At 37.2% G+C, this 22,434-nt stretch overlaps 1 protein-coding gene and 1 long non-coding RNA gene across 12 annotated transcripts in view, besides 1 other annotated feature; one reads left to right on the forward strand and one right to left on the reverse strand.

Annotated features, from left to right (window-relative positions):
- The window catches only part of LOC124901339 (uncharacterized), an 84,723-nt gene that overhangs the window by 35,842 nt on the left and 26,447 nt on the right, over nt 1-22,434 (reverse strand). The window lies entirely within an intron of this gene.
- Nucleotides 1,265-2,324: a silencer, noted in NCBI's record as "silent region_17326". NCBI's record gives its function as "represses an Ori minimal core promoter by ATAC-STARR-seq in GM12878 lymphoblastoid cells {active_cell/tissue: GM12878}" and the evidence as "EXISTENCE:reporter gene assay evidence [ECO:0000049][PMID:35858748]".
- OGFRL1 (opioid growth factor receptor like 1) lies at nt 1,612-21,860 on the forward strand. 4 transcript variants are annotated; one of them, XM_047419365.1, is made up of 8 exons: nt 1,612-1,971; nt 4,672-4,821; nt 6,094-6,180; nt 6,331-6,412; nt 9,118-9,196; nt 9,296-9,362; nt 9,473-9,618; nt 14,187-21,860. In XM_047419365.1, the coding sequence occupies exons 7-8, from the start codon at nt 9,524-9,526 to the stop codon at nt 14,848-14,850; spliced, it is 759 nt and encodes a 252-aa protein (XP_047275321.1). In that variant the 5' UTR covers nt 1,612-1,971; nt 4,672-4,821; nt 6,094-6,180; nt 6,331-6,412; nt 9,118-9,196; nt 9,296-9,362; nt 9,473-9,523; the 3' UTR covers nt 14,851-21,860. The 4 variants fall into 4 exon arrangements, with proteins under 4 accessions (XP_047275321.1, NP_001311195.1, NP_078852.3 ...); NM_001324266.2 differs by lacking the exon at nt 4,672-4,821; NM_024576.5 differs by lacking the exon at nt 4,672-4,821 and having other exon boundaries at nt 6,334-6,412.

The raw sequence follows: 22,434 nt of genomic DNA on the forward strand, positions 1-22,434 counted from the left end.
TTTGTGCACCCCGTGTCTATTTCTTATTAGTTTCAGAGCTTTTCCCAGTCATAGGATCACAGAAGGTCAGAGCTGGAAGGGCTCCCAGAGATCTGGTTTCATTTTACAAATGAGGAAGTTTAGGTTCATGTGACCTACTTAAAGTCAGAAACTGATTAGTGACAGAGCTACAGCCTAGATGTCTTGTTGCAGTGCATGAAGAGCTTAGGTAATCCTGATTTATCCATGGAATAGGCAGCTGGTTTACCTGATTCTTCCCTTAGAAACAGTCCATCTAACATGATTTGGCTTCCTACTTCATCATGAAACATTTGAAAAGAAACTATTCATTCCAAGTTCAACAGTTTAATCTTCAAATATCTAGCTCATCTTTCTTAGTCCATATTTAACAAATGTTTACTGAGCATCCACCAAGTTGACAGCACTGTAAATACAGACACACTTTCAGACGGGGGCTGCCTGCAAAGAGGCTTCCCTTCTAGTTAGAAAGCCAGAAGACACATTTTACAACAGTCACTTTTCTCTGGGTCACATATTTGATAATACTACCTTATCTTTACGTACTTCTATAGGCTTATGCCTGTAATCCCAGCTATTGGGAGGCTGAGGCAGGAGAATTGCTTGAAACCAGGAGGCGGAGGTTGCAGTGAGCCGAGATCGCGCCTCTGCACTGCAGCCTGGGCAACAGAGGGAGACTCTGTCTCAAAAAGAAAGAAAAGAAAGAACAGAACAACAGAACAGAACAGAACAGAACAGAACAGAACAGAACAGAACAGAACAGAACAGAACAGAAAAAAGAAAGAACTTCCCTAACACAGTTCTCCCTCCTCCTTTCATTTGCAGAACAGACCACAGGGCCGAGGCTTCTTCCATTAGAAACAGCCCATCTGTTCTACTGATTCTGAGATTTTTGCCTACACGGAGCACCAATTTGTAGTGGGTGTAAGGTTACCCGCAAATCAATGTGATGGTCCAGTTGTTACTGTTCCTTTTGTTTCACGAGCGATTGCTCATTAGATGAGGTGACTGATAGCTCTGACTTTTTCTAGACCACAAGGACTCTAGGTGGCTGCCCTAAGTACAGTTGTGGCAGCTGGGATTTCCTGTTTATATGGTGCCCGGCACCATCAGCTTTTGTCCTCTGCTGCAGCTAAAGTGTCTTCCTCCTGGACCAGGGAGAGGGGGAGGGGGTGTGGACAGGACCCGCCTGCTGACGGTGACACCTCTTCGACACCACGTCCACGCCAGTCCTCAGCTCCAGGAGCTGGGCGGGATCCCTCATCCCGCTCAGCTGGGAGATGCCCCGGGAGGGCGTCCCCCGGCTCCGGGCGGCGAGGGTAGTAGCCGACCCCAATCCACTCCGGGGGCCGCCGGGGGCCGCGTGAAGGCAGGTGTTCCGGGGAGAAACGTGGAAGGGAGGCGCGGCCTGGGGCCGGTGGCGCTCGGCTGGGGGCCGCAGTTGGCTCCCCTGGGGGCTCTGGGCGGCGGCAGCTCCCGCCTGTGGGGAGGAGAAGGAGCCGGATGGGCGGGTTCAGGCGCGCGCGGCGGCGGTCCCGGGGCCGCCGGCTCCTCCCCGCGAGGGTGCCTGTCCGCCGCTCGCCGCGCTGAGGCAGTGCGGGGCGGGCGCGCCTAGGCTGCCGCCCAGCGCCCTCGCCGCGGCCATGCCCGGGCCCTAGAGCGCCTGCCGCAGCTTGCGCCCCGCAGCCCCGCAGCCCCGCGCCCGCCGCCGCCTCTTCAATGGGCAACCTGCTCGGCGGGGTCAGCTTCCGCGAGCCCACCACCGTGGAGGACTGCGACTCCACCTGGCAGACCGACTCGGAGCCCGAGCCCGAAGAACCAGGGCCGGGCGGCGGCAGCGAGGGCCCGGGGCAGGAGTCCGAGCAGCCCGCGCAGCCCCCGGAGCAAGCCGGCGGGCGGCCCGGCGCCAGCCCCGCGCCGGACGAGGACGCCGAGGCGGCGGGCGCCGAGCAGGTACGCGGCCCAGCGGTGGCCTCGGGTCGGGCTGGGGCGCCCCGACACCCCAGAGGGGCAAGTGCCAAGCCGCCCTCGCGCTCGGAGGCCAGGGGCGCCAGGTGGCTGCTCGCCGCTGCGACCCGACCCCTCCGCGCCGCGGCTGACCTGTCTCCCGGTGGAGCCCGGGGGCCTGCAGGAGCCCAAAGCGCCGGACCCTCCCACTGCCGGCCTGGGGCCTGGCCGAGGGCACGGCGAGGAAGTCCCTCAAGGCAGAACCCAACTTGAATGGGTGTTTTCTTTGCCTCTGCAGAGCAGCTGGATTATGCGAAGGTGGGGTGGGAGGAACCTGTCTAAAAATAGAGGATTTTGACAACCCCTCTAGTGTGTGTTATTGGTAAAAAAAAAAAAAAAAAAAAAAAAAAAAAAAATTACTCAGAATAAGGTGGGGCTACAAGTGCAAGCAGCCAGCGCTCTCCCCTACAGTGGGGTCTAAGCCGTCAGAAGTGTAGGCCCTCATCTGAAGTTCATACGTCACTGTTCTGCCCAACTCAGGCCTTTCAACCTAGGATTCAGGGCATTCTTCACGAATCTTATTTCACCAGAAGACTTGTTGATCCAACTGTGTTTGAACTGTTTGACTAATACAGCTTGGAGGAGAGGTTAGTCAAGAGATAAGCCCCTTAACCTCTGATGGACTGAAAATAATCAGGAACTTTAAAAAGGAGGAAATATGTAGCCGACCCCCTGAAGAAGTGTGCATCCTGGAGGTGGTTCAGGTTTGCCGCTCCACATTAGGCCCTTCTCTTTATCAGCTAGGGGCGATGGAGATTGGGAAAATGGAGCCCAAAGTCCAATGTGACCACAGGGTTTTGGGGGAATCATAACCTAAATATTACAGCTAACACCGCCTCAGCCATCTTGATGATCAATTCTATTTAGGTAAGGAGGAAATCATAAAGTCTTAGTGCAGGCTCTGTGTTAAACGTGTTATTTAAATGAACTACAATTTTGGGGTGGGTGTTTGCTGTGTGGTCTCCATTTTAGAGAAAACTGAGGCTTAGAGAGAAAGGAAAACTTGCCCAAGATCACTGAGGGAGAGGATGATGCAAACCCAAGTCTATCTATCACTGATATCAGCGCCTTGGACCTGTGGAATTCTGAATTTCCATCTGCCCCTGTGTCTGGTTTGCCGCTGTTGTTTTGCATTGCTAATTCAATCTTATTAAATTATTAGATGCTGCATTCTCATGTTTTTCCCTTACGTTTGTCTCCCAATTAAGTAACCTCCTACAGAAATTTGGAATATCAAAAAACACCAGCTAAGATTCAATCCAACTAACCAGGTCCATCTATATAAAACATTTTAATAATGTTCAGTCAGTTAACTGCAACCCCAGTAACTAGTAGACTACACCAGCCCTCCCTATTCCCTTTTAATGATTAATTTTTCTTGTTAGTATCACCATCTGACTTCCCCAAAAAATCTGCTTTTCAATTTTGCCTTTTGACTGCCAACCCTATTTGTTGTCTATTCCTCAGAGTCAATCCACTTGCAGGTAATACTGGAGCTACTTTTAAAGCGTATCCCAGACTGACTCCTTCACACCACTTCCATTGCATCATCCTAGTCCCTCTGAATACTGAACAAATGATGGTGACATTAACCAAGACAGGGAAGTCTAGGGAGAATGCAGCTATGGAGGTTAAATCAACGATTCTCTTGAGTTTGATATCCTATTACACATCCAAGTAGAGTTGTTGGGTAGTTAATCATTTGTTGGGTAGTTAAATTACATCTATGAATGGAGACAGTCCAGGACTAGAGTCCTCAGCATCTGAGATCAATGGTATTTAAAGGCATGGGAAGATAAGGGGTTATCAAGGAGTGATGACGACTGAGGACCTTAGGCACCCCTCCATTTAGAGGGTATGAAGAGGAGGAGGAGCCAAAAAAGGAGGCTGACAAGGGGAGCCCAATGAGACAGAAAGTAAACTAAGAAAGTTATAGTAGCCTGTAAGCCAAATACTGACAGTGTTTCAGGAAGGAGGGATGCTTTAATTGGCCCAGTTCTGTTGGGAGGTCACCTGAGGTGAACATTAAGAAATGGTTTGGCAAGATGGAGACTTATTGGTGAAGTTCACAAGAACTATTTTGTTGGAGTGCTGAGGACAAAAGCCTGATTGAGGTGGGTCAGGGGAAAATGGGGAAAGAAAAGAAGGAAACAAAGTATGGGCAATTCTTTGGTGGTGATTTGCTATAAAAAAGGAGTAGATATATGGATCTGTAATTGATGGTAGGCCTGGGTCAAGGAATGTTTTGTATGTTTATTTTAAGATTAAAGATACTACAGCATGTTTGTTTGAGATCGAGAAGAGAGGGAAATTTTGATGATCCAGGAAAGAGGAACAATATTGAACAACAGAATCCTTGTCTGAGCAGGTGAAAGGGGTCTGGGTAGAGAGTCCAAAGGGAATAGGGGTTGGAAGAGCAGGAGCAGATGCTGGCAGGACACAGACATTCTTATGATAATCCTGAGAAATAGGTAGGGCTTGAGTCATTATCTTTATTTCAGAGATGATAAAACTAAGATTCAGCTAAATGATTTGCTTAAGGCCTCACAAATACAAGTAAGCAGCGTTCAGATTGCTAGTCTTCTGACTCCAAGTCTTGGGCTACTGATACTACACCAAGGTTTCCATATATCCTTCATTTTTTAGTGTGACTGAGATTGATTCAGACCTGGACTTGGGACCCAGAGCCTGGGATTCTTGTTCTTGCACTGTCACTGGACTCTGGGTGGTGTGCAACTTCTCTAAGCCCCTGATATCTTGTTTCTAAGATGGAAACACTTATTAACTGTCAATCAGGTGTGTTTTAAGAATCAAATGAAATAATGCCTTTTGACTGTCAACCCTGTTTGTTGTCTATTCGCTATATATGTAAGTGCTTTGTAAATGGAGAGTGCCTTCTATACAAATGTAGGATGATGATTCATATGGTTGTATCTCAGGCTAAATAGATTCAGAAACTTGCTAGGCAGAGCTATTTTGAAACGTGTGGCAAGGACCAGAATTCAAGCTTTTCCTTGCTTATGTAACATGACAGCGTAACTAATGTTAAGCATCAGAAGATTTGATGTTGAAGTAACTCGGTACTTGTAGTAATAGTGAGAATCACACCACTTCAAAAATGTGTGAAAATTACTTAGAGGATGCCAATCTGTCAACACAGATGGAGGACAGGGGTTGAGGAGAAAAGAATTTGGGGCAAAGCTTTTAATGACTCTTAAAGGTCTAAAGTTTTTCTTTTTCATGATTGTCATCAGCACTTTCTCATACATTATAATAGTACATATAGGGAATGCAAATCGATTATTTTAACCCACATCTTATACTTTAAAAATCAGTTCATGGTGATAGGAATTTTACTTAAGAGTTTGAACAGTATGAGTAAACTACCATGTATAAGTTGTTTCAATTGGACACCATTCCATTTAAGAGCATTTTATTGCTTTGTGTGTATATATTTTAAATGTTTATATCACATTGTATTATCATTCAGTGAACAGATGATTATTCATGCCTTTGTGTACTTGTCATGGTATTATAAAGGATGGAGTTTAGAAAGCTAGTTTGTTTTAAAATCCTTTCTTTTCATAAATATTACTTGACTTCCAAGTACAGCTAAATGTTGCAAATTTAATGACAATTTTCTTTGTAGAATTGATTTAGTAACTTAACACATTCTTAGTATTATGTAAAATATTCTAAAATAAGTTTTATCATAGAATCACTTGCATAATCATCTGGTAAATAAATGTCTTGAATTCCTTTTTGAGTTCCATTTTTGATGGATATTGATCCATAACATTGGCCTCTTAGGTTTTTGGTTAATAATAAAGTGTTTTATTCAGTAATATATCTTAGGACAAATGTTATTGGTTCAAATAAGAAAAATAGGATGCTAAGAAATATTGCTAGTAAGCGTTATTAAAGGAATATTTATAATATTTTCATTAATCTGGACAGATTGACAATTTTCAGGCTTTCTTTATGGATCTTCCTTAAGTTTGTTCTGGAAATTTCTTTGTGAAATTATCTTGCGTCAACATGTAAACGGAGTTTCACCTTTTATTTCAGGGTGGTGATTCCACTGAAGCAACTGCCAAACCAAAGAGAAGTTTTTATGCTGCCAGGGATTTGTACAAGTACCGACACCAGTACCCAGTAAGAGTATAGAATGCTATGTTTTAAACTGTAAACTATTTTCCTTCTGTTTTTAAATTTTTATGGTGCCACTGAGAAAACATGCATGAAGGGTCCTTGTATCTTTACTGTATTTCTATGTGCTGGAGATTGATTTATTTTTTCCTTTAGCAGAACTTCAAAGATATCCGATATCAAAATGACTTGAGCAATCTTCGTTTTTATAAGAATAAAATTCCATTCAAGCCAGATGGTGAGTAACGTACTACTTGATAAATTGCACTTTAAATAATCACATACACTTGGTTATTCTTTATTTTGTGGTTTGTTTCATTGATTGGATTTACTTTGCTATGCAGTCTAATGTGTCCCCTTGGTAAATTCTGGAGGAAGAGCTATGGATTAATGGTATCTTTCTTATTTACATTGCTATTATCTGAAAGATAGTAGGGACAATTTTTGTGACAGGAAGAGAGAGGAGATGTATAGAACCATAGAATTTTAGGTTATTAAGGAACAGTAGAGAAGATCAAATTCAGCTTTCTCATCTCAAAGATTAGGTCACTAGGACTTAAAGCTTAGGTCACTCGATTGCAGGTTCTAGAGTCCACTGTTCTTTCCATTGTGCCATAGCTGAAAACTATTTAGCATGTGATTGAAAAGTGCTGTTTGTATTTAGAATTATCTTTCCTGTCAGTTTTCAGATTCAGTATCAGCAATCTACAGCAATCCCTGTTTGGAGTTCCAATATTCTGGGAAGGGAACTGCAGATACAGTAGATCTCCATCCAACTCTGCCAAATACACTTGTCTCCTTCCCAACTCTGCAATTGCCCTCCTAGGATATTTTCCAAACCCATAGTGAGAAGATGCAGCTGCTATGGTAATATGACCACAACATTGCATATTTCATTGAGGCATCATGCTGTGGTTCATGGTGGTCATCCTAATTTTATCCAGGTCACCCTAGGAAAGCTGGCTTCTCTCCCAAGAGCCCTTTTCTGTGTGAGGTGGTCAGACTGCCCTGGCTTCTGCTATTTGCTCTCAGTGGAAACTGAGCCAGTTCCACAGCAGTGTGAGTCACAGAAGGAAGGAGATAGACTGCAAGGCTTTCAAGTGGCAGGACCTTGCATTCTTTGGTGAACTAACTCGAGGCAAGAGGTCTAAAGCCTGGATTGAGTTTGGGAGGAGGGAGTCCCAGTACTGTGTACCAACAGACCTACCAGTTGGGAGTTAATATTTGAGAACATCGTTGACGTGGCCAGATCTACTTGTCTTTAACTTTCTGGTGTCCTGAAAGTCTGCTGTGATGTGGAATGAAACCTCTGGATAAAATTGCACAGTTATATTTACTAATGATAGAAATGTGCTGCTTTATTTACTAATGGAAAAATATTGGCCAAATTATTCATTTTGTTAGGACTTGGGGTAGAAAAATATTTTGAAGAAATGCAATGATAGATTGTTAATTTGAGTCTGATTTGAATTTCATACAATTTTCCTAAAGGAATGCCTTCACATATTAAAAATATTAAACATAAAGCTATGATAGTATTTAACTCTATTTTTTTCTACTAGGGAATTTATTTTGTAAATATTAATTTAAAAAGTAATTTCAAGCAATATATTGAATTTTTGGTAATCTTTACTACAAAGTTTATTTTGAAATCTTATGATTGGTGGGGGTCAGAAGTTTTAGCTAAGGTCAGATAAAATGTTTATCCTAGTTTATTATACAAATTATATCAACTCACTTTCCTCCCTAGTATACACACACACGCACACACGCACACACACACTACTTGCCAGTAAGCATAATCTTGCAATGGTATTTATTTATCAGGCAGGAGGAGTGGTAGTTGGAAAGGAAAACAAATGGAAAATTACAGAGGTAAATGGTTTCAACATGCCAATAAAGCCAACATTATGATTCAAAACAACTTTTTACCAAACCTTCCGAGAGTGGGCCTCTACTACAAACTGGTGATCTCTGGAGGAAACAAGAATGAGATGAGTTATGTTCGGAGAAATATTATATTGCTATTTTATTTTCTACAACATTGACTAAATGGCTAGTCAATTGTAAGGACCTTGACAGACTTAGGAACAGGAGGATTTTGTTTTTGTAAGTTCTTGTAGAGGAAAAGTGGACAGGGTGAAAAGGGCTTACTTCTTGGAACCAGAAAGACCTATGTTGCACTCAAGATTTACTTTTTTACTAGTGTGTAACTTTGAACAAATCTCCCAGTTTCTTCATTGTTAAAATGAGGATCATAACACTGGCAGCATTCTGTGAAGACTAAGCTGGAAAATGTGCGCTCTGTGTAATATGGGCACAGCATGTAGTAAGCACTTACAACTTTTTCCTACATTTTTCTTTTCTCGTTTTCCTTCTCCTTTGTTTTCTCCTTCTCATTTCTTTTCTTCTATTTCTACTCCCCTTTCTTTCTTTTTCCCTAGGATGCAATTCATTTTGATCCAATTTAGCATTTAAAGAACTATATAACTCCTAGGACTGGGATTGGCAAACTTTCTATACAGGGGCAAATAGTAAATATTTTGGGCTTTGGGGGACAGTGGGTCTGTATTGCAACTACACAGCTCTGCTACTGTAGTACAAAAACTGCCATAGACAGTACATAAATGAATGTGCATAGCTATATTCCAATAAAACTTTATTTAAAAAACAGCTGGCAGGCCACAGTTTGCCAAGCTCTGCTTTAGAGTACATTGTCCAACAAAGCCTTGTGCAATTTGAGGTGCTATTAATTTTTTTTAATTAGATTTATCACATAACCGAATATATGGGCATAGGGTATTCATCTTTTTAAAAGCACTATTCTTGTGTGCTATTATTAAATTTAAACAAGTTTTCATATAAAACTCAAGTGATTCGAATCTTAAAATGCCTTCACAATGTTTGAAATGTCTGGTTCATTTTTAAATATTTACTATTTAGGTGTTTACATTGAAGAAGTTCTAAGTAAATGGAAAGGAGATTATGAAAAACTGGAGCACAACCACACTTACATTCAATGGTCAGTTACATATTATCTATCTTGAACCATGTCCTATTTAATCATGTATGTTTTCCAGACAACGTTAATAGAAAAATTTTATTTTTTTAAAATAAATAGGCTTTTCCCCCTGAGAGAACAAGGCTTGAACTTCTATGCCAAAGAACTAACTACATATGAAATTGAGGTAATGCAAGCTCATTTCATTTTATACAGGGTGGCCAAATAATATTGCTATTTCACTGTCCTTGTAGCTACTGAATCATTTCAGGTGACTTTTTTCATTTTTTATATTAGGAATTCAAAAAAACAAAAGAAGCAATTAGAAGATTCCTCCTGGCTTATAAAATGATGCTAGAATTTTTTGGAATAAAACTGACTGATAAAACTGGAAATGTTGCTCGGGCTGTTAACTGGCAGGAAAGATTTCAGCATCTGAATGAGTAAGTAAAGCCCCTGTGATAAATCAGGGGCCAGCACAGTTATTTTCCCTTGGTCAGAGTTCTCTATGAAACGCAGGAACAACTAGCAGATGAGATGGGCCCAGGAATTTGGATTAAAAAGCTAGTCTGAAATGCATTACATTCCTGTACCACATTCTAAAACAAAACAAAACAACAACAAAAAGGAACAAAATTCTAGGTAGAAACACAGCTATTCAGCTTCAGACCTGTTTCTCCCTGAAACCTTCCTATTGCCCACAGCCAAATGTTGCTTCTCTCCCTCCTCCTTATGCCACATTTCTTTGAGTTTATTGTTATTGCTTGTGTACAATTCTGTGTATTCCTTCTTGTAGGCTGTAAGCTTCTTGGGGCACAATCTGTTTCTAAGCATAATGCCTTCTTAAGATTAAATTCATGCATTAAGCCTATGATGTATAAAAATCATTTTATAAGAATGAGATGGGCCCATAGTTTTTACTAAAAGAGAGAGAAAATTACACTTGTCTTCACTATTAAGGTAAAAAACAAAAACTCATTTTTGGGTAATAAGTCCCAAAACTTATGAAGAACATTTTAACATAGTTTATTTGGAATTGTTTTGCTGTATTCATTTGGTTGGATGTTTATAACTTTTGTTAATACTCATAACCAAAGTTTATTTTTCTTGATATTTTCTTCATATTCACTGTCTATTTTCTTTTTAATTATAGTTAAATTTTAACTAATTATAGTTACATTTAAACTAATCATAGTTGAATTATTTATGAATGCTGGCCTATACAGCCACCAGCTTTAAAGTACTTTTAAGCATATTATAATTAGCTAAACTGAGCAAGTACTAAGAGCAAAAAAATTAAAACTAACCTAAGCAATTTTCCTTTGGCCACAGCAGTCTACGTTTTGTGCATCAGTTAACTATTTTTTTATGTGTTTTTATAGAACTTTCACCTTGCTTTGGTAAGATGGGTATAAATATATATATTTTTAATTTTATTATTATTATACTTTAAGTTTTAGGGTACATGTGCACAACGTGCAGGTTAGTTACATATGTATACACGTGCCATGTTGGTGTGCTGCACCTATTTACTCGTCATTTAGCATTAGGTATATCTCCTAATGCTATCCCTCCCCCCTCCCCCCACCCCACAACAGACCCCGGTGTGTGATGTTCCCCTTCCTGTGTCCATGTGTTCTCATTGTTCAATTCAGATGGGTATAAATATTAATGTTATAAGAAGTAAAAAGCCTTCTTTTTACTTTATTACTTATAATCAATGATATTAAAATGGTAGTTTGTACTAAAACGCTAAAGATATGGGCATAAAGCTTTATATTCCTGACTAGAAGATCCATTAACTCATAACTCAAATTTGACTTATGTAGGGCACTTAAAGCATAGGTATATATACCTCTACCTAAGCAATACAGGTAGCTAGCTCTGGACAGAGTTTCTAAACACTTATATTACACTGTGAAAGAGCTACATGCCAGCAGCCTATTGACATGAAAGACAGCAATAGTAACAGTAAATCTTTTGAAAGGATTTGATAGTACCTCATCTTTCATGTACTTAACGACTATCATTTTAGATACCTCAAACTTGTTATTTTTGGTTGGAATAGCAATCTTGCTTAATAAATTTTTATTGAATGAATAAATGATTAACAAAATATGGTCTTCAGCTTAAATCCTCCTTGGAGTTTTGTTATCATATCCTCTGATTTATAGGTGGAAACAGAGTCTCTTTTTAAGGCTTTAATTAAATGATTTCCAGGGTTGAGGCAGGGGAAGGGAGCCTGAACTAAGTCACTTCTCACTCCTCTGCCCCATCCTTTCTTTCTGCCACCTATTGTCAGCATAGAGCTTTTCCAGCTGTGAATTAACTGCCTTAGAATCTGCCAGAAAACACTCTGTTTCTTCTCTAGTTTAGTTGCAAAAAATCTTTACTGACTAGATTTGAACAAATGATAGAGGATTCTATGAAAACGTCTGTTCTATTTTCTTCTTCAATTGGGTCCTTTTCTGACTTATTCTTAAATGTCATAACTTATTTGTATTTTAATGTATATGGCATCTTGAGTAGTTTACAGTAGGCAGGGAACTCAATATATTTATAGTAGCTAAGCAGAGGAAAAATATTGAATCAAAGTAAAATAAAATAACATTGAGTGAACAAGCGACCTTGACTAAAAGAGGCAAAATATTTTCAGACATGAGAGTACAAATATATGGACCAACCACTAAGAGGTGTTTTCAATTTTGTTTGTAATCAACTTGGATTACTGAGCCATATTTAGACCCTGGGGAGCCTTTTAACTTTTATTTTTTGTTTCCTGGTTCTCACCTTGTATGTCTTCTCTCTTTACCTACCTAGACTTCTTGCAATTTCAACACTATTTGCTACCCTTAACCTCTGTCTGGAACCTCAGCTTCTTTCTTTTTCCTATAGTGTAACCCTAAGATGGTTTATACATTATAAGGATTTTTGCCACTCTCTTCTATACCATTTAGTCTTTCACTATGACATTTATTACAAATCATACTGAAACACCCAATTGCTTTATTTTGTAGTTTTGTTCTGGGATACTCATCATCATTTTTTAACCCAAGTCTTTTTCCTTTTATACTGTTGTGTAAATATTTTTAATTGGAGCATATATAGATATAGTAAATGTGTACAGAAATTTTAACTTCAGCATTCATCTAAGATTGGCTATATAAAATTGAGCTGGTTGCAAATATAGTAAATTTTGTTTAGTCATAGAGCTCCTCTTTTTTAAAAAAAGAATTCTTCCACCTTTTTATACATCTTTTTCTCATAGATATATGAGGCAGAATTGCCCAAGGGTTTTGTCAGTAAGTATTTAGAGTATGCAAACTCCATAGGAATGTAACAACTAAGTTGTTCCTGCTGTTAGTGACACATTGTCTTAACTGTACCCAAATTTGTATTGTCTCAAGAGTGTTACTTCCTATTCAAAAATACAGATGTGTAAAACTGAGACATCTGTGCTGCATTTTACCCTCTGGGCTTCACAGTTGAATGTTAAGACAATAATTTTTTAGTAAACATCCAGAAAGATGAAGATGATGAACTGTTGGGCTTAGCTTTTCCAGTGTTTGGTTAGTATGAATCATTAAGGTTTTTGTTTTGTCCAAAGAAACTTTCTCATTGAAACATAAGACCATGGAACCATACTCTGCCATCCCTTAATTCATCAACATCTTTCTCCCTGCTTCCCAAGTAATTTGCTAATTATTTCAAAGTAAAATCTTCAAGCATTTTTGGAAGCTAGGACAGGTATATATAATGTTTGCAGAAAGTTCCATGTCTGAGATATAAAACAGGCTTTAGGAAGTTAGAAATAAGTGATGGTTATTGTTATGTGGCAATATTGGGTAAATAAATACCTGGGCTGTTGACAACACCTATGATTAATACATGTGGCTGATGATTCTTTTGGAATTTGACCAGGCATGTGTAATAAAGCAAAGATTGAGCTGAGTGAGTTTGGGGAGTTACATTATGAATTGTGACAAAATAGATTTGGAAAACATTCATCCAGTAATGGCATTAGTTTTGTGATAGAGAGGAAAGATGTTAGTGTAATCTGGGGGAAAATGTACCCTTGGAATCAAGACCATTAGAAATAAGATTTAAAATTATCAGATAGGGAAAGAGGAGGAAAGAATGACCAGAGATTGAAGAAAATTAGGTTAAGTTGGATAGGTACAAATATGGTGGTCCCTAATCTCGTATCTTTAAATGATAATACTAATAGTTTTAAATAGTATCTAGTACTTATCGAGTTCTATATACCCAGCATGTGTATCATCTCATTTGATTCTTACAACAGTCCTGTAAGTTGTGGGCACTTTTCCCCATTTTACAGATGAGGATATTGAGACATAGAGAAACATAGTTTCACTTAGCTGCTAAGTTACAGAGCCAGGGTGTGAACTCAGGTCTGACTCCAAAGCCCATGCTCTTAACTGTTAAACTAAGCTCTGCTAAATAAGTCAGTTTTGTGTCCTTTGTCAGAACTGTTTTAGCAAAGTAGAGTAGTTTTTGCCGCCATCCTTATGAGTTGGCTTACGTGGTGGATTTTGCTTATCAGCTGGCACTATAAATTGTACCAGTCAGCTGTTAGCTAATGTGTTTATGTTTAGCAATGGTTACCTCTGATGAGTACAGTACATTGATGTTGGTGCAAATAAATGCTCTGTTAGATCATTCATCTTCAGTGTATTTTCAGTAATAAGCAACAATTTGACAGTGGTAATAAATTTAAACCTAAATATTTTTCTAATATGAAGAACTCAACAGACAAGGGAAGTTTATTTTATACATTTGACTTTCACATAGATTGACATTACATTGTGGCCTAAGGATTTAATACCCTCTGGTTTATTCTTAATGGTATCAAATATGGCATTAGGAAGTCATTACACAGCATATTTCCATGGCTTACATTTCCATAAAAAATATTTTCCCAATAGTTTTCATTCTCCTGCCTTCCTACACCTGATTTCCCCCACTCATTTTATTCAATCCTCTCTTCCAGGTCCCAGCACAACTATTTAAGAATCACTCGTATTCTTAAAAGCCTTGGTGAGCTTGGATATGAAAGTTTTAAATCTCCTCTTGTAAAATTTATTCTTCATGAAGCTCTTGTGGAGAATACTATTCCCAATATTAAGCAGAGTGCTCTAGAGTATTTTGTTTATACAATTAGAGACAGAAGAGAAAGGAGAAAGCTCCTGCGGTTCGCCCAGAAACACTACACGCCTTCAGAGAACTTTATCTGGGGACCGCCTCGAAAAGAACAGTCGGAGGGAAGCAAAGCCCAGAAAATGTCTTCCCCTCTCGCCTCCAGTCATAACAGTCAAACTTCTATGCACAAAAAAGCCAAGGACTCCAAAAATTCCTCCTCAGCTGTTCATTTAAATAGCAAAACAGCTGAAGACAAAAAAGTGGCACCAAAAGAGCCTGTGGAAGAGACAGACAGGCCCAGCCCAGAGCCCAGCAATGAAGCTGCCAAGCCAAGAAATACAGAGAAGGACAGTAATGCTGAGAACATGAATTCTCAACCTGAGAAAACAGTTACTACTCCCACAGAAAAAAAGGAGAGTGTATCTCCTGAGAATAACGAAGAAGGTGGAAATGATAACCAAGACAATGAAAATCCTGGAAATACAAATTGCCATGATGTTGTACTAGTACAGTGAATTATCAGAAAACCCAGAAGCCAGTTTAGGCTAGAGAGGAAAAAACTACTGTATCATTTATCCTAAAGAACAGAGATGAGGTCAATTTCAAATTTTAGCCATCTGTTTGTGATTTCTGTCATAAGCATTTTGTTGTTTGTTTTTTTATTTTGGATGACAATGAATTGAATATCTAATAAGGAGATTTAAGATAAGACCCAATAAATGAATGTATTCTGTAATGCTTTTAGGATGTGAATTTTCAAATTTTGTATATAATAATTACTTTGAGAATATTTTCAGAGTATCTAGAAATTACCATGTAGTATTTGGTATACAAAATACATTCTTTTGAGACATTATAGTCTACATGAAGGAAATCAAGAGGATAATTTCATTGGATTGCTACACTTTTACCTGATTTATGGCTTTATTTTACTTTATTTTATTTTATTATTATTTTTTGAGACGGAGTCTCTGTTGCCCAGGCTGGAGTGCAGTGGCATGATCTCGGCTCACTGCAACCTCTGCCTCCTGGACTCAAACGATTCTCCTGCCTCAGCCTCCTGAGTAGCTGGGATTACAGGCGTGTGCCACCACGCCTGGCTAATTTTTGTATTTTTAGTAGAGACGGGGTTTCACCATGTTGGTCAGGCTGGTCTCAAACTCCTGACCTCATGATCCACCCGCCTCGGCCTCCCAAAGTGCTGGGATTACAGGCATGAGCCACCATGTCTGGCTGATTAATTTTTTTTTTAACTGTAAGAGTTTGATCTTTTCAAATGTGTTCAGAAACTAATTTGGATTCTTTGATTCTAGTATCTCAACGTGTTTATTTTTAGATTCTGATAAGTGAAATGGATGTCCTTGTGGAGCTCTGGCCTCCCCAGCTTATCTATCAGTCCTGCTGTCCTCACCTCCTTGCCTCTTTCCATGCTTACCCTTAAGCCACCATCTTTCTCAGCTAGCGTGTGTGTTTCTAGTGTAGTTGGCCCTCCATATTCAGGGGTCCAGCATCTGTGGATTCAACCAACCGCAGATTGAAAATATTTGTTGGAAAAAATGGATGGTTACATCTCTACTAAATATGTGCAGTCCTTTTATTTGTCATTATTCTCTAAACAATACAGTATAACAACTATTGACATAGCATTTATATTGTATGTATTAGGTATTGTAAGTAATTTAGAGATGATTTAAAGTATTTTACATAAGGGACTTGAGCATTCCTAGATTTTGGTAACTGCAGAGGGTCCTGGAACCAACCCCCTACAGATATCAAGGGACCACTATACACATTAGGATGATCTATATTGAAATCTACATGGAACAGAGTGGGACTTCTAATTGTATGACTTCAAGATTTTGCTTTGTTTAAATTAATAACTGTTTTCAGAATTAAGTGCTTAAAAACAAATTTGATTGAAAAGTTCAAGACAAGAATTTTGCTCTCTATGGCTGTTCCATATAAATTTGATGGTTGATTCTGAATGTAAATGACTGAAGAATTAAAAAATAAGAAATTCCTTTTTAAAAGGCATGCCTCTTGCACTGTGAACAAGACAGTAGTCCCTTAAACCATGAATATGTCAGTGTTCTATGGATTACGAAATTAGTAATGTTGCTTAGCCCAAACGTGTTTTTTAAAAAGTATAGTTTTGTACATCTCTAAGTTATCAAACTTCAAAATTGAGAACAAATTTAAAAGTCCATATATGCAACTCTAGTAAGCACTTAATAGGTTACATAGCACTGGTTAAGAACAATTAATTTTGTTTCTATATTATTACTAATTATTATTACAAATCAAAAAACACTGTGATAAGAACTTCAAAGCATATATACAAATATAGTTAAAGCAATGAATAGATGAAACATGTCTACTTTATTTCATTTAGAAAGGAATTAACTTTTTTGTTAGGCTTTTAAGAAAAGTTCTATTCATTTTAATCCCCTAGGGAATTTGTAATATGTCCTACTTCATATCATCTTCTGTTGCCTCTATTGATCCACATTTTCTGCAGTGGATTTCTTGAAAAGAATCACACTTATAGTATGCCTCTAGAAATATGATTTTACTGCTTTGAAGTTTACATGAAACATGCCAGTTGCTTAACTCTAATTTTTTATATGAATCTCAGTAGCACTTTTGTTGTACATTGTGTTCCAATAAGTATAGTATGGAACACTTTCTCATTTTTAGTTCCCATAATATGCCAGTTTTTGCTTTCCTAGTGTTCTGTGAGTATTAGGATTTGGCAATCTGCTTTTGCATTTCAATTTCTGTTTTACATGCAAGAAAAACATGGACACTCTTACGTGGTGCTTGTAGCTGTGTCTCCGTAGAGCTCAGTAAATAGTTCTACAGGGTTTAGAGGATGAGAAGCGATTGTCAAATTAGGCTGAATTGTAGAACACAAATAATTTAATTCAAAATAACTTACCAATTTTATATACATGATAAAGTATTCAGACAACTTTCTAAATGCATAATAGTAAAAGATTGTGACCAGATATTATGATATTAATAAAGTTACCAGATACTAAAATCAATGAATGTAATTTGAATTACTTAGAAATTGTATATTAGAGCCCTTATGAGTAAAAACATTTCATTTAGCAACTTAACTTTTAGAATATTCTTCCTACTTAGGGATTTTGATTAGATTGTAACATTAAATTCGAGAATATTTAGTCTCAAGAGAAACACTTCCTGGCATCCATCTTAAATAGTGGCCTTTTCCCACTATGGTGTTTTTAAATGCATATTCATATATAATAGTATGTTTCTTACATTTAATCCCTAAATAACTTAGATAATCATTCAGTGGAGAACAAGTAAAAGGATATCATTCCTTTTGGAGATAAACATTGAGTGTCTAGAATTTTTTTCTATTAATGCTTTGTATATTAGTTTTTTAAATAAGATCTATAGATATGTATTTATGTGTGTCTTATATATGAAACAGTGCTCTGGGTTTGACTCCTATGTTTTGTAATTTTAAAAACTACGATATGCTTGCAGAAATTCATTGAGAAGCTGTTATAAAAAATGCAGTGAAGCATGACCAAATAGCTAAAAATATTACTGAATCTTTACAAATATATAATCTTTATTGTTGTACTGTGGAGTGCAAGGATACTAAATATTGGCTATTGATAAAATACTAACTTGCATTTCATGGCAAATAGATGTTATATCGCTTGATTAGTCTAGAACATTTCTAATATTTTGTGCTTTCATATATCAAAGGAGATTATGTGAAACTATTTTTAAATACTGTAAAGTGACATATAGTTATAAGATATATTTCTGTACAGTAGAGAAAGAGTTTATAACATGAAGAATATTGTACCATTATACATTTTCATTCTCGATCTCATAAGAAATTCAAAAGAATAATGATAGAGGTGAAAATATGTTTACTTTCTCTAAATCAAGCCTAGTTGTCAACTCAAAAATTATGTTGCATAGTTTTATTTTGAATTTAGGTTTTGGGACTACTTTTTTCCAGCTTCAATGAGAAAATAAAATCTACAACTCAGGAGTTACTAGAGAAGTTCTAAGTATTTTTTTGCTAAGTAGTAAAAATATAAACATATGAAAATGCCATAATGCCTGTCATAGTCATTGTTTCATATTTTGTCATATAAAATCACCTACCCTGCTTCTAGTTTTATACTTTAATCTGAGTGAAAGTATGATGTGGTGGAAAGAAAAAACAGTACAGTATTACATCTGAGTTAGTCTTTGAAAAATCATAGTAGTAAATGAACCTCAACACTGAGTGGTCAAAAATTGGGTTAACCAATGGGGGGAGAATATTTGGTTAATTGTTTTAATATTAAATTTTCAAGTTTATAATAGAGTTATGGTTGAGTAGTCATCCATACTGAGTAATCACGCATTTTTTAAACTATAATTGAGGCTCTTCTAAAGCTTTGTTTTCTAATCTAAGATACAAAGGATATTCTTGATCTTGCTTGATTGTAACTACATCTACCAGTCTTTAATGTCTGTTTGGGGTGAGTGGCGATCCTCTGTTGTAGGAATGTTTTTGAAGATTTCTATTTTGTTTTCCACTTAGGAAATTCCCCTCTCTCATTTGGGGTATATGCGTTGAGTATAAGGTAGGCTGTATTTAGACACACTAGAATCATTAAATGTAGGTGAAGTTGTAGAGAAAAATGGCCTGGGTCAATGTAGGATCTAGAAAATTAGGAGTGTACATTTGCTGGCTTCTTTTTGAGTTTTGTACTGTTTATTACAGGAACATATTTGTGTGGCTAATCTCTAGGGTGACAGTGAGTACTACCCTGCTCCTTCTGCATTCTAGTTATCCAACACACCCAGCAGATTGTGTTCAGGGACAGAATGTGTTTTTAGAAATCCCTTATTATTGAAATGAATAATAATATAGCTATAAATATGAATGTCTGGAGGTATCCAGATGTGCCTTAACAAATGTAAATGGTTTTCATTCAGAAGTTTACATTTTTATTACATTATAAAATCTCATCATTGGGAACTTTCTAAACCATGAATATCAGTTCTTTTAATGAAATTTAGGTGGTGCTTTATCATTTTGGAGAAGTTGCTGTTTGGGACAATAGCATCAGTTTATCAAGAAGTGTACTCACCATGATATTCAACAATGTGTTACATTTGACAAAACGTGTTTAGAGTAAGAAAGACTAACTATACTGTCTGTTATATTTATTTATGCTTTTTGTAGTTTAGCTACATACTATAATTTTCATTTTAAACGTTCCTTAGTTACTACAAATAATATTTATGTTTTGCTTCTTCTTAGATGTAGGCGGATGCAGAAATAGAATTATGTTAGAGAAATTATTAAAAGTTTAATTCCAGTAGGCAGTTGGAGAAATCTGAAACTAATTTGAAAAACTTTTATGCTGTAGTCTCATTAGAATCATTTTAAAAGCACTGTTCTTGCATTTTTCCTAGACTACAGAGAGTGTTCTTTGTCATTTTTTTTCCTATTCTGTTGTGAAGTTTATTGTTTCAGTTATTTGAGGGAAATAACCTCTTAATATGTTTATTTTCCTGAACTAAAGTTTTCATGTAGAGAATACAATTAAATGTTTTGTGTTATGACCCAAACTGGCTGGAAGTAGAGTTCAGAGAGGGAGAAGGGACAAGAATCAGTGTGGGCATCTCAGGAAAGTGGCGCCAGTGCTGGGCTCCAGCCTTCTCCACTGGCATGATGGGTCCTCAGATTCTCCTCTGGATAATGAGGGTGTTGGGCACTGTGAGCTCTGACTTCTGGGGAGGATAGGCCATCATGGACTCCATACACAATTTTGATGGGTATCAGTTCTCATAAAATACCTGCTACAATTTATTTATTTTGTAGTTGTTTAGAAAACTGTGAGCAGTTGGGCATTAGTAAATTGTAGTTATATCTTAACGATCTTGGGAATCATTGAAATATGAGTTTTTTTCCCTCACTCCTATTTATTTAATTAAAAAATTAGGGAAGTTGTTCATTCACAGCTGTATATTAATATAAAATCTCTTTATAAAATGATTCAGAGAAAAGGCAGTAGTGGTCACTTACTGTGCTAAAATACCTTTTTCTCTAAAAATATTTAAGCTTTAGGGTTTGTCATAGTTTTACTTTTTAAATTATACTTTGTGTAACAATTTACGTTAACTAGAAAAATTAGATATATAATAAGTTTTGGTACTAAGAAACATTTACATTCTACACTCATTAGTCAAATGAACTTTTCTTTCCCAGTGCTAACAGATTTTGTTTCATGTGAAGAAAAATAAAATACAAATGAAATAAAAGTCTAGAAACAGCAACAGGAAACTCACCACAGAAATAAAGACATAACCCTTGATAAGTTTGTGTAAGTGCCAGAATTATTGGAAGCAGGTGACGAATGATTAAGAAAAGCTTTATTGTGGGGACATGCTTTAAGAATCAGCTCTGTATTTGTGCCAAGGAGATCAGGTATTGGTGTGCAAACAGATCCCATTAATACTCTGATTTGAACCATGAATTCCACCTACTCTGCGTTGAAGCCCTCCAGTAGACTGATAGATGTAATCAAATGATCAGCTACCAAGTTTAATTCCTTTGCCTGTGTGTAGCAACAGTTGGTAGTTTTACAAGTTAAGTTGATGGTCTGGCTGCAGATAAGAGAAAGACTCAGTGATAGGTGGTTTGTGAGTGAAGTAACTTCCACACTGTCAAGAGTTGACAGCATATTAATTGTGTGGCATTATAATTGTGAGAAACAAATGAGAGCAAAATGTTAGGTCCTTTGACAAGCATTTTCCTCCTGTTTTTAAAAAGGGCTTTAAGTTGTTTCCTATGTAAGGTAATCTTTCTTTTTTAGTATTATCTAAGAAGGATGGTAGATTATGTCATTTTGGAAACTATTGTGTCCCTTGTATTTTAAATATTTCAGGAAAATGCCTACGATTGTTACAAAGATGTGTGTTTTACTTATAACATAAGCTCTGATTCTCCAGTGGCCACTGGGCCTTCTCTGTGCTCTGTATTCAACTGCAGTATGAATTACAGAATGCTGTGCATGTTCGTTAGTACCAATACCATGTGTATGTGGTAGAAGTTGTAACCAGTTTCTGGATCTGTATGGTACTATAAAATACTTATTTTATAATTCTGTAACCGTATGGCAGTGTTATGCCAAAAATGTATAAAGAGCAATAGTTTTTGTTGCTTACTGCTGTATTTTAAAATATTGTTTCTAAAATAATAGAGTTAGAGTTCCTTTTGAGTAATTATTTTTAAGAACTATTGCCAAATATACATCCTGTAAAACTAATAAAAGCCACTCCATCTTAGATAACATTTTAGCATTGTGCTAGAGTACATTATGGTGATTTTGCACGATTAAAATATTTTTAAAGAACTAGAAAAAATGACTTGCTGTTTTCCTGTCATTAAGCATGTATTTTTTATGATTAACACATAAGACTAACATTATTTTCTTTTATCCTCAAAAATAAATATTGTGAAGGGTGAATCATATATATGAAGTTATTTTTATTGTGAGATTCTACAGAACAGATCACATATGTAAATACTTGGATGTTTATTGTTATCTCTTTGTGTAATGCAGAGTTTTAAAAGTATTTTTCTTACAGATGAATGAATATGAATAGCTAATGAAGGTGAAAGATGTTTTTCACTTAGGCGGGCTAATATTTAAGTAGTCAAGTTTTTGATTAAGAAAAATTGAAATTGCAAGATGAAAGTGAGGAGGTTGCTCTAAGAATCACAGGACAATGTAGACAAAAATGAGGAAAAGCATAACATTTGAGCTTGGCTGCATTCTATATAAGCAGGGAAAGAGGATGAAAGAACTAAGAATAAGTTGTAGTAAGAGTGAAGTTAGATTGTGCATAACTGAGAAAATGATAGCAAATAACAGCCTCAGTGGTGAATGAGCGTGATTTTAACTTCAGCCTTTTGTATGAATGGTTTAGTAGAGAGAGAAGTGCACACATGCAGTCATTTTCATAAGGGAAGAATGAATACATTCTGGTAACAGAAAATACGATTTTCTTTTCCCCACAGATTGAATGTGTGAAGGTATTGTAAA

This window comes from Homo sapiens, chromosome 6 (genome assembly GCF_000001405.40).
Source record: "Homo sapiens chromosome 6, GRCh38.p14 Primary Assembly".
In the NCBI taxonomy this organism is placed as follows: domain Eukaryota; kingdom Metazoa; phylum Chordata; class Mammalia; order Primates; family Hominidae; genus Homo; species Homo sapiens.